A 12,820-nucleotide genomic window follows, 5' to 3' on the forward strand; every position below is an offset into this window, starting at 1 on the left:
TCATAGAATCGTAGAAAGCTAGGGACTCAGAGACATCCAGTCCCCTGTTTCCTTTGTGGGAAATTGAGTCCCAGAGAGAGATCAGGACTTGACTAAGCTTGATTCACTCCAGCACAATCTTCAATGCCAGTCGTCAGATGTGGAGAGAATGCTTACAGGGACACCCATCCCCTACTAGGCAGGACTAGAAGAAATGGCCTTAATTTGTAAACAGAAGGCTTCTGGCGAGACACAAAAAAGAACTCCTGAGTACAAGAATGAGGATGGGGTCCTGGACAGAGGAAGGGGGACGCCTGAAATGATCTCTGTACTACACCTCCCAGGGGCACCGCTGTCATGCCAGTCCTTTTCTTTGAGAATATGAAGGATTCAAGGTCCCTCTCCCAGAGTCCGGCGCCATGGTTGGCGGCTGGGGGAACTTGAGAGGCCAGTCCTGGAACAGGTGCAACAGCTGGAGCAACTGCGCAGCTGTTGCCGGGCTCAGGCTCAGCAGCCTGTGCGCCAGTGAGTGAGGCAGAGACCTCTGCTGGTGGGAGAGGAGAGGTGCAGAACGGCCCAGTCAGAGATCCAGAGAGAAGTCAGCCTGGAGCCGGACTTCAGGCCTTCACTTAGGTGCTCCCCACTGCCTCATGCACACCTGCACAGGTAGATGGGGATGCGACTAAGCTGGACAGACAAGCAGGTCCCCTCTGGCCGGTCTCCCACTACCTTCACTGCCCCAGGCCATCCAGGCACTTTTTTCTGGTGTCTGAGGGTCTGCCTGTCCACTCCTCCCTGGCAGGGCAGGAGTACCACCCTCCCACATCCCTATTCCAAAGGCCAGAGTGGACTCGGAATCAAGGCAACCACACCTTTGGGTTTTGGAGACTTAGAATTACGAAGTGTTAAAACTAGAATGGTCCTCAATAATCATCCACTTGAGTCCAACCATCTCACTTTACAGGGGAGAAAACTGAGAGGTAGAGAAAGGCAACCTGTCCAGGGTCACAGTTGGAATTGATGGCACAGCCAGGGCTGGATCCATGACTTTCTGATTCCAGGTTTGCCCTCCACATCACATCCTACCAGCGGAGCTCCCTTCCTGTCCCATGCCTGCGTCTAGGGTCCGGAATTCATCACCTGGGAACGAAAGCTTCGATTCCCATAATAAACAAAACCCTTGAAGAAAAAAAATACATGGATTGTTTTTTTCTCAGCAGGGTCTCACTGTGATACCCAGGTTGGAGTGCAGTGGTGCAATCACAGCTCACTGCAGCCCCCATCTTCTGGGCTCAAGCAATCCTTCCACCTCAGCCTGCCGAATAGCTGGGACCACAGATATGTGCCACCATGCCAGGCTAATTTCTTTATTTTTTCTAGAGACAGGGTCTTGCTATGTTTCTCAGGCTGGTCTCAAACTCCTGGGCTCAAGTAATCCATCCACCTCGGCCTTTCAAAGTGCTGAGATTACAGGCGTGAGCCACTGCACCCAGCCCCATGTTTTTACTTGGTAACTGACTCTCCTGAAAGCAGGATTGGATGGAGGGAGGGAAGAGAAAGCAGAGCATACTAGACACCTACAAGGGACAATTAGGGAAGAGAACCAAAGAGAGGAGCTGAGAGGAGTAGGGCAGAAAGCACTGAAGAGGGAGGTAAGAAGATAGTAGGCCTCTGGTGGACACTCATCCACAAAGAGCCGAGTGTCTAGAGTGACCAGCATCACACATGTCTGTGGCTCAGCCTGGGGCTGGGACCAGTACTGGTCAGTAACCAGGTCAGGGACCCAGCCTGGGTAAGGGGTCTTGTATAGGGGTGGAATTGGTGTTCAACCTGTGGCCAAGGTTGGAGGACTAGGGCTTGGCTTGTGGCTGGAATTGCAACTTAGTCTGTATTGGGATTAGGGCTCAATCTATGGCTGGAAATAGAACCAAAGAGAGAATACTTTTTGTTTGAATAGCCTGAGGAGCAAACTGTTACCTGTGTTCACAGGCCCTTGGCATTCTTCAGGGCTCCGACACCTCAGGAGCCTGATACCACACAGACTTGAACATTTCCATCCGTTAGCACTGTTTCTGAAAGCACCTAAGATATCACCAGATTTCTGACCCACAACAGGCTTGAGATCTCACTTAAACTAAGATGAGGACCTTTGTAAGAGACCTTCAAATAGCATCTTGGCAAATGACTATAGGATCCTTTCTAGATTCATAGGCTGTCAGCACCAAACAAAATGAGGCTCAGATAAAGAAGTGGTCTGTCCCAACTCACACAGCCAATAAGTGACAAATCAGGGTCCAGGACCCAGGTCTGTTCTGTTTTTTGTTGTTGTTGTTGTTGTTGTTTTTTAAGAGATGAGGTCTCACCATGTTCCCCAGGCTAGCCTTGAACTCCTGAGCTCAAGGGTTCCTCTCCCTCTCAGCCTCCCAAGTAGCTGGTGACTGGAACTACAGGTGTGTACCACTGTGCCTGGCTTTTGTTCTTTTCTTTAATAAATTTGCTGTGTGACCTTGGGCAAGTCACTCTTCTCTTCTGGGCTTCAATTTAACTCTAAGTATAGGTATATTGATGGGTAGAAGCAGATGGTTTTTGATAGTTTCACCAGCTCTAACATCCAGGAATCTTAACATTCTCCAATGAGTGCCAGTCCACCTCACCCTAATGAGTTGGCTCCAAGTCTTTTTCTCACATGTCTGGAGATCTGTATTTACAAGGCTGTAGGGAAGATGGAATACTGGCAGGACCTGCTGAGAGGTACAGAGCTGAAGGCCAGGGAGGCACAGACGAGGGAGATCAGAGTGGATCAAGTCACCGGGGAGAGTTTGCTTGAAGAGGTGTGACCTAGGCAAGGCCATGAAAGGCTGACAAGATATGGGAAGCAAAGAAGCAGGGTGTGGGTAGGATAACAGTCTGGTTCTAGGACATCTTTCCAAGATGCATCAAGGGCAATGATATCTGGAGAAAAAATTGCAGGGACTAAGAACAAGGTGTCAAGTGGATGGGAGGCAGGCATGGAGGGCATCCTGTGCAAAGTCTCTTTTAAGAAATAGGAGGCAGGTGTTAGGAGGAAACCCTCAGGGTTCAAGAAAGCGGAAGAGACATTTATTAAGTACACAGCATTGTGCTGGGCACTTTAATCCGTTACCTCCTTTAATCCTCCCAAGAACCCTGCAAGTTCTGGATTAGTATCTCTCTTAGACAGATTAGGAAATTGAGGCTCAGAGAAGTTATGACTTACAAAAAGTCACACAGCTCTAAGGGGCACGGCCAGGATTTGAATACAACACTGAGCTAATTCCATTACTTGTTCTATGTAATGGAAAGACTTATGTGAGTCTCATGCTGCTGGCAGGCCAGAGACACTCAGCCTGCTCTCATGAGCAGAAACAAGACCGTAACAAAGTCCAGCACTACCAGCTCCAGAATGTCACGTGCAAAAGAAAGGCATAGATGGAGGAGCTGAGCTGGGGAGAGGAAAGAGCACCAGACTAGGAGTTGGGAACGCAGGGTCTTAATCCCAGGCTGTGCCATGTATGTCCTGGAGAAACCCACTGCTTGAATGAAGCTCCTTTCTTCTGATTAAGAGAATGTGGTTTGGTTTTCCATCCTCACAGCATTCTAAGAGATTGGCTGGGCATGGGGAGGGGGGACCACCAGCCTATTGTGGGCGCAGTGAGGAAACTGAGGCTCAGATTGATGATGTAACCTGTTTGATGTTACACTGTATCTATGTGGAAAAGCATAATTGGGAACTGATTTTTTTTGGAAGCTATCAAGCACCAGTCTTGTGCTAGCTGCTTTACCTCTTTTCTCTAATTTAATCCTATCAACTCTCCTAGGATTTTTACTTCCGCTTTATAGATTAGGAAACCCAGGGTCAGAGAGGTGCACTCTGTGACGGCCTCCCAGCAGCTGGCATTCAGCGGGGCTGGGATGGTGAAGACGCTGGTCTATCTCACTGTGCCCTGCCGCCTCCCAGAGTCTCACACTGCAAATTCAGGGTTCCTTCTAGACAATGTGAGGCAGGGAATAAAGCATGGGATCTGGAACTAGAGTTCTGGCTTTGGATGGCTTACCCGCTCTGTAAGTTTTAGCAAGTTCCTCCTTGCTCAGCCTAAGTTTTCTCATCTGTAAAGTGCGAATGATAATACCCACCTCACTGGAGAGTTGCGAGGATCAAAAGAGAGAAAAGAATGGGAAGGTTATCCTAATTACCTCTCATTTCTGTCCAATGGCTCTTTCCAAAGGCAAAAAGCCTTTTCTTCTCCATCACACTCCTTACCTGTAGCCAGACATACCCGACTCCCTCCTAGGAACAGTAAGTCCTCCCCCAACCCAAAACACAGTGCCCTGCCCTCTCCCCCCGCTGCCCTTGGTGCCCCTCCTCAGGTCCCTGGCAGCAGCCCTCTCTCAGTTCTGAGTTGTGCCGAGTTCCTCCGGTCCCCCGGCCCATACTGGTCCTCACGGAGTCTCCACCCCTCCGGCACAGGTGCTGCCTGGACGGCTGTCAGAAGAGCTTGGGGTCCAGGTCCTGGCGCTGTCCCTCACATTCCAGGGGCCGCATCCCTCCTCTGCCCACCCAGCCTCCCGGTCTACTTACGGGCTCGAGCGTGGGAGTCCAGGGGGAACCAGAGCAGCGCGAGTCCCAGCAAGGAGGAGAGGACCCTCACCTCGGGAACCATCCTTTCCCCAGGGTCAGGCCGCTGGTCCGGGAGCGGAGTCGGGAGGAAGGGAGACGAAAAGGACACGGAGGCACAGGGGCCACAGATCAACCCACAGACCCCAGGAGGTCTGCTGCTAGAGCGGGGTCGGAGAAGGGCCAGGAAGCAGCGGTGGGCAGGAAAGGAGGGCAGGAAGGGAGGTCTAAGGTGGGAAGAAGAGAAAGGTGGAAAGAGAACGCGGGGAAAGGAGGGAGAGATGGAGAGACGAAGGAAGGTCCAGCAGAAGGGAGAGGCGATCAAAGAAAGGGGGAAGGTGAGAGGGAGAGGAGGAGAAAGCAGGGAGAGGACCGGCGTCTGCCGAGCGCGCAGCGCCGGGCGAGGCGCGCGGGACCAGCGGGTGTTGCGGGCGCGCGGGCTAGAGGCGGCCGGCGCCCCCTGCTCGGTGGGCTCGGGGTCGGGCCGCGGGGGCCTGGGGCCCGGCGGGGCGGCGGTCCCAGCAGCGGCGGCGGCGCGGCGGCCGCGGAGGGAGGCTGAGCGCGGGCCGGCTGTGCTCGCCAAGGGCTTCAGGCGCCGCGCTCGGGCGCATTTGTACTTTGCCGCGGGAAGCAGGCAGCCCGGCCTGGCGCTGGCCTAGCGCTGGCGCCTCCTCTGGGGCACCGCGGGCTCGGTGGATTGGCCACCCGAGAAACAGGCCCACTTTTTCCCCTCCTCTCTTGTGCGGGTCTCCGGGACGGACGCTCCAGGCGCGGCGCCGAGTGGAGGCGAGGGGGCTGCGGAGGGGGAAGGGGCCACGCGGGCCACGGGGTTTAACCCCTGACTCCCCGCGACGCCAAGAATGCAGGAGGGCAGAGTTGAGGGAGACCTCAGGTGGAACTTTCAGGTGGGGAAGGCTGAGCTGTCGGGGCTGCGGGTACCGGGAAGGCTCAGGGTAAGGCGCTCGGCGGTGCGTGCCCGGAACTCCGCAGATGGATGGAATCAGAACACTGGCGTTCTTAATTCAGTTTGTGGTCTACAGCACGCCACCGGAGAGTCTGTTTTCCCAGCTTTAAAATGGGCATTTTAAGATCTTAAAATATCTCTACTATCTTCCCACGAGTGTTGCTAAGATGAAATAAGGTAATGAACGTCGAAACACTCACCCCACAAAGAGAAGGGGTCCTAATTCCAGGTGCCTACAATACCAGTGGCCCCTGTCCCCACTCCGTCTGCCCATGCGCCATTCTCAGGAAAGTCAGCCCATAGGGATCCTGTGCCTTCCCCTGGAGGTCTTCCTCTGCTCCCCGCTCCCACTCCCGAATCAAGGCAAGATCTCTCCTTTGCCTTTGCAGGTGAGGCCTGCACTTCTCTGGGAGTGATGGTCACCTTCAGTCATCTTTAGGGAGAGCTGATTGTCAAAGAGTTTTCTTTCCCACCAGAAGGGGAGCTCCCTGAGGACAGGGCCCTGACACCCTCCAGCCCTCAAATGGTGCTCCATCTCTTGTGTTGAATGAACACATGCACTAATAGGACACTAAGAAGAGAATAGCCAGCTCTGGCCAGACCAGAAACACACAAGCTCTGAAATCAAAAGGGCAGAGTCACTGTCCTGGCTCCATCCGTAACTTGTTGGGCCACTTTGAGTAAATACATCTATCCTTGCTTTGGACCTCAACTTTCTGCCCAGCTTCTCTTGAAGAGCTAATGGAGACTCCAAAGAGTGCCAGAGGAGTATGAGGTGGGAAGGGATGTTGAGCCATATCCCACTCTGGTAGGGAATCATATTTCCGGGTTTAAACACTTGGCTGGCTGGCTGTAAAGGTATCTTTCTGGGCCAAGGCTGGGCTCCCCATTGCACTGTGCTTTCAGGGTATTACCCCCAAGATCTCCACCCTCCAAAAGAGAGCAGTAGGAGGAACCAGTGATCCCCAAACTGGCCCTTCCTAGGGCTCTCAGGATCAGGGACAAACATGATCTGTCCAGTGCCCTTCAGGCTTAATTTCTACTCTAATCTGGCCAGTCTCTTCCTTTCCCCTGAGTATTCTTTATTTTAACAGATAGTGCAAGCTTATGCATGTCACCATGCTTCCCTTTTTGCCTTTGCTTCCAGGGATCTCAGAGTTAAATCCTGTGCTGCTTAATTGCATAAACAATCTCATCCCAAGGGTTTGGGACAGTGATCTTTTCCTTTCTCTTTGTTTAAAATGTGCTGTGCACATATATTCATGTCTTAGATGTAAGAAGTGGATTAAGATGGGTTCCCCTACATCCTGCCCATCATACTTCAAAAAAGGCCTCCACCATCTCAGCCCTCCTGTCCATCCCTATTATCCCCAGAGTTGAGGCCAACTTCATTCCTTTTTTTTTTTTTTTTGAGATGGAGTTTTGCGCTTGTCGCCCAGGCTGGAGTGCAGTGGCGTGATCTGGGCTCACTGCAACCTCTGCCTCTGGGTTCAAGCGATTCTTCTGCCTCAGCCTCCCGAGTAGCTGGGATTACAGGCATGCACCACCTATAATTTTTGTATTTTTAGTAGAGATGGGGTTTCGCCATGTTGGCCAAGCTGGTCTTGAACTCCTGACCTCAGCTGATCCACTCACCTCAGCCTCCCAAAGTGCTGGGATTACAAGCATGAGCCACCGCACCCGGCCATCTTCATTCCTTACTTGAACTTTCCCAACAGCCTCTTACCAGGTCTCCTCCCCCTAATCTGGATCTCTCCTATCTATTTTCCTCACACCTGCCTTGAGAACTATGCTGATCATTTCTACTGACAAATCTGATCACATCACTTTCCCACATAAAACCTATTATTCACTTCCTATCATTTATAGGTTAAAATCTAAAATTTTCAGCACTGAATTGAACACCACGCATATTTTAGTTCCAATCTACCATTGCCACCTACCCTACACTTTGGCCAACCGCTCACCTCCCCAAACTGACCATGCGTCGTCGCACCTCCATATCCTCACACATGTTTTCCTTCTGCCTGGACTCTCTCTTCCTCCATCTAGTGAATCCCATTTAACTTTCCAAAGGTCAGTTGAGTCACCTCCACTCCAAGGTCTTCCCTGAGTCCCCCAGGCAAAGTCAATGTTTAGTCTTTGTGTTTCCCATAGCACTTTGAATTGTAGCTGTTGGAGTGTAAGTATTTATTTGCATTTTTACCCTGCACTGTGAGTGCAGGTGCCTTTTGAAATTTATATCTGTAATTCGAGCATTTAGCAAAGTCCTTGACACACAGATACTGAATAAATAATTGCTACATGAATGAGTGAAGACCTCAGTGATTGGAAAAGCCTTCAGCCCACTATTGGCCTCAGCTTTAGTCAATGATTGACATAAGAAACAAACACTTGAAAGTTTCTGTGTCAGGCCGGGCCCAGTGGCTCACACCTGTAATCCCAGCACTTTGGGAGGCTGAGGTGGGAAGATGGCTTGAGCCTAGGAGTTTAAGACCAGCCTGGGCAACAAAGTGAGACCCCCCCCCAACTTCGTCTCTACAAAAAGTAAAAAAGATAGCTGGGCATAGTGGCACGCACCTGTAGTCCTAGCTACTCTGAAGGCTGAGGCAGGAGGATCGCTTGAGCCCAGGAGGTTGAGGCTGCAGTGAGCCGTGTTTGCACCACTGCACTCCAGAGCAAGACTGTCTCAAAAAGAAAAAAAGAAAGAAAGAAAGTCTTTGTGTCTTCTGTAGAAATACTATTGAAGAGAGTTGTCTATATATTATTTAATACCCTTTTAAAAAGGAGACTGAATAAATTCTTCCAAAATCTAGTCAGGAAAAAAAAATGCATCTCCCCATAGCAGTTTGTTGCACTAAGAGTTTATCTGGCATCTGCTTTCTTCCTTCATAGCGAACTTGCTCATTGCCTGCCAAGGCAGCCCATTCCACTGTTGGACAGCTCTGTTAGAAAGTTCTTTATATTAAACTGAAATCTGATTCTCTGTGACTGCCTGTGTTGCCCCTCACTCTGTCCCCAGGGCTATACAGAACAAGCCAAGTCCTTTTGTCTTTTGAGAGCTCTCTAGAGATTTGGGGCAGAGAACCCCTCTTCCATACCTTCACCTTTACCAGTCTGGGTCCCGGGACCCCTCATGCCATATTAAACATTGTCTTCAAATGTGCCAAGCTCTTGGGCCTCCATGACTCTGCAAACACTGTTTCTTCGCCCTGGAATGCCCTCTCTGTACTCACTTTGATTTGTCTGGCAAGCTTACTTATTTTTCAAGGGTTAAGGTAATTGCTAACTCCTTCACTCATGCAACAATTATTGAGTGCAAATTCTGGGCCAGACATAGTGCTAGGTGCTAGGGACACAGTGGAGAACAAGACAGACACCGACACTTGTATTCTAGGTGCTCTGAATCCTCTTTGCTGGTCTCTGAGTTAGCTCCGTTCTGCTCCATACTTCTTTGTTATAGCACTTACTACATTGTATTTTCAATAGGTTTTGTGTCACCTCCTCTATAGTGAGTTCTTTGAGAACATAGACTACTATTTAATATCTTCCCTAGCCTTCAACACACAGCTTTGCACATATTTGCTGCTAAATAAAGGTTTGTTGAATAATATCCTAGTTCCTTCAAACAGTCCTCATGTGACATGCTATTTGTGACTAAAAGGCCACCTCCTCCGCCACAGGTTGCTTAATTATGTAAAATTACCATAGCGATAAGGATCATAGGGATCAGTGTCAAGGAGAGACTTAGCCTAGTCCGCTTAATTCTGTCCATAAGATTCTAAAAGAAGATTCACCACAAGAAGATTACATAATAGAGACTCTACACCAGTGGTGTGCTGGTAAATGTTTAACAACTGGTTCTCCAGGGGAAAAAAAGTGTTGTTTTTTACAGTTGCCAATGTCTGTGGTGTAAATACTCCCACTGTGGCCAATTCATGCTACCAATGTGACATCACTGAAAGCGCAGTGGAGAAGAGAGGCACAGTGAAATACCGTTATACAGTATTTCCTCCCTATCGACATAGTAGATGTAAATAACCTCAAGAACATTGAGAGTAGTAATTAGGAAGTGATGACTCAGTTTTTATTACCTCTGTTTTAAGTGTAACTTATTTAATTATACGTTATGTTATTTAATTTTTAGGAATGATTGTGTTCAATAACCAGCTTGCAACATTTCTGAAAATTTAACCCCTGGCTCTCCTTAGCTGGTAAAAGCCCCCTCTAGTACGCTGCTTTTACATGATTAGGTGCTGAAATGCAATGAACAAATAGCCTCTTTAAAGCTGAGTTCAGCCAGTGGTGGTGGCATGTCTGTAGTCCCAGCTTCTCTGGAGGCTGACGTGGGAGGATCACTTTGAGACCAGCCTGGGCAACATTGTGAAACCCTATACCATTTAAATAAATAAATAAATAAATAAATAAATAAATAAAGCTGAGTCCAATTTATTTACATTAGGAGGAAAGTCTTATTTAAAGGACCTTCACAGTTAATTTATTTGTGAACAATTCCTACCCTACTCTCACCCCTCAACTGGGTCAGTTACTCACCTATATAACAAACATTTATTTAGAACCTACTATCATTTTTGTATTTATTTGGCTCTCCAGATGTTGTGCATATAGTTGGCCTAAATAAAAATGTCTGTAGAATGGATGAATGAATCCTCAGCACCTGAAATAGTGCCTGATGCATTGTGGGTGCTCGATCAGTATCTATGTGAGTGAATGGATCTTCTTAAAGTGAGGCTCATCCGTATTTACATAGGTTTCCATATGGCTATGTGAATATTCCCAAGTCTTTTTTCTCCCTCATTGAGCCCTCTGTTCCCAGGACAATCTGTACACAGCAAGAGGAGGAAGTATCAGGAAACCAGAATGGGGAACACATAGCCCTTAATGTCAGAGAGCCCTCATGAGGAAAACTGAGTGGGGACATGGTGTCTTCAGCAGAAGACATGGAGTGGGATCATCATTCTTCTAGAGTCTTAAGCCCTGCCACTGGCCAGAGGCCTCCTCTACTGGGGCATCCTCACTTACCAAGTATCAAAGAGAGTGGACCTTGTTCTCTCACCTCCTCCACATTCAGGGGACTTTAGAAAAGCAGTTTGTTCTCAGAGACTTCTTTCAATAGGTCTGTGAGGATGCAGTTAGAGCACCAGAAAACAGTGCCATACAACTTGGGTCACGCAGTTGGAAGGTGGCAGGCACTGTGTCCACCTAAAGGTGGGAATGAAGAGCCACTAGAATTATCTTTTAAAAATGTAAATCAGGCCAGGCGTCATATGTCATGCCTGTAATCCCAGCACTTTGGGAGGCTGAGGTGGGAGGATTGCTTGAGCCCAGGAGTTTGAGACCAGCCTGGGCAACAAAATGAGACCCTGTCCCTACAAAAAACTTAAAAATTAGCTGGGCATGATGGTGTGTACCTGTAGTCCCAGCTACCTGGGAGGCTGAGGCAGGAGTATTGCTTGAGCCTGGGAGGTCAAGGCTGCAGTGAGCCATGATTGCACCACTGCACTCCAGCCCGGATGACAGGGTGAGACCCCATCTCTGAAAAAAAAAAAAAAAAAAAAGAAAGAAAAGAAAAGTAAATTAGTGAAGTCCCTTCTTTGCTTAAAACCTCTCCATTGCACTTAGAATAAAATCCAAAGGGTGGGTGCAGTGGCTCACACCTGTAATCCCAGCACTTTGGGAGGCCAAGGTGGGAGGATCACTTGAGTCCAGGAGTTTGTGACCAGCCTGGCCAACATCATGAGATCTCATTTCTACAAAAAATTAAAAAATTAGCCAAGCGTAGTGGCACAAGCCTGTAGTCCTAGCTGCTCTGGAGGCTGAGGTGGGAGGATTGATTGAGCCTGGGAGGTGGAGGCTGCAGTGAGCCAACATCGCACCACTGTATTCCAGCCTGGACAACAGAGCAAGGCACTGTCTCTAAATAAATAAATAAGAATAAAATCCAAATCATTTGCCAAATATGTAAAGCCTTCCATGCCCTGGCCCTGTCTACACTCTGACTTCAGACCACTCTCCCTGTGCTCACTATGCTCTAGTACACGGGCCTTCTTTCTGTCCCTGGGATACATCAAGCTGCCTGGTCCCTCCTCAGGGATTTTGCCCTTGCTAGTTCTCCTGCTTGGAATGCTCTTCCCTCAACCTTTTCTACAGATAATACTTCATTCAGCTCAAATGTCACTTCTTTAGTGATGTTTCCCTGGTCCAATCTATGTAATGATGCCTGCTTTTGAGTAATTTTCTATCTTATTGCCTTGTTTTCTTTCCTTTCTTATCATTCTCTGAAACATATTTTTCACTTGTATATTATCTGTCTCCCTCATGAGCACAAAAGCTCTGCAACAGCCTAGACTTTAATTTTTTTTGTTTTATTTTCTATTTTTTTTTTTTTTTAAAGACAAAGACAGCATCTCGCTATGTTGCTCAGTCTGGTCTCAAACTCCTGGGCTCAAGCCATCCTTCTGTCTTGACATCCCAAAGTGCTGGGACCACAGGTGTGAGACACTGCGTCTGGCTGTGGACTTTAATTTTTGATCACTGCTATATCCCTAGCTCCTGGAACAATGCCTAATACATAACAGATTTTTTTGTATGTGTGTGTGAACCTAACTTCAATATTTTATTGTCTTCACAATTAAAAAAAAGATGAAGCTTTGAACTAGGTCACTTGGCCCTTTTCTTCCTATCTCCCGCCAGTTTAAAATGCTTGCATCTCTTAATAGTCAGCCTTCTCTTAGCTCTGCAATTGGGCTCAATGCACTCAAGGCTCAGCACAGTCTTTTTTGTGGTTTTAACCTTTTTCTGGAAAATTGGCTTAGTCTGCCCACCCTAGCCACTCTGCTTCTTGTTATAATGCTGCTTTCCCTGGACATACAGTGGATCCTTACCCTTCTTGTACTGCGTCAGTTTGTGGGGTTGGTGCTTGCCTCACTTCTTACGGAAAGTCTGGCAGGTTTTAGGAATGTTCACCATGTTTGTAGGTGTGCTATTGATATAGAAAATGAATTTAAAAAAGAAAGAAAAGAAATGGAGGATGGAATATTTATCTGTGTTATCTGATTCATATGAGTAATGAACCCTAGATTCAAGACCCCAAATCCTTGGAATTCACCCACATTAGTATTTTCATCATCATTATTATTCCCCTTACTTTTATTATCATCTCACCACCATCATTATCAATAACAGCACTGCACGGCACATGGGAGTATTTAACGTTGTTGAAT

The 12,820-nt window shown here is 48.2% G+C and overlaps 1 protein-coding gene and 1 pseudogene across 2 annotated transcripts in view; both read right to left on the minus strand.

Annotated features, from left to right (window-relative positions):
• CHRDL2 (chordin like 2) overlaps positions 1-5,196 on the minus strand; it is a 34,998-nt gene extending 29,802 nt beyond the window's left edge. For both annotated transcript variants that reach the window (NM_001278473.3, NM_015424.6), the window contains exon 1: positions 4,577-5,196. In NM_001278473.3, the coding sequence (NP_001265402.1) occupies positions 4,577-4,658 (82 nt within the window). In that variant the 5' untranslated portion in view covers positions 4,659-5,196. The remainder of the gene's footprint in view (positions 1-4,576) is intronic.
• Positions 12,250-12,566, minus strand: RPL36AP38 (ribosomal protein L36a pseudogene 38; annotated as a pseudogene).

Source organism: Homo sapiens, chromosome 11 (genome assembly GCF_000001405.40).
Source record: "Homo sapiens chromosome 11, GRCh38.p14 Primary Assembly".
Taxonomy (NCBI): domain Eukaryota; kingdom Metazoa; phylum Chordata; class Mammalia; order Primates; family Hominidae; genus Homo; species Homo sapiens.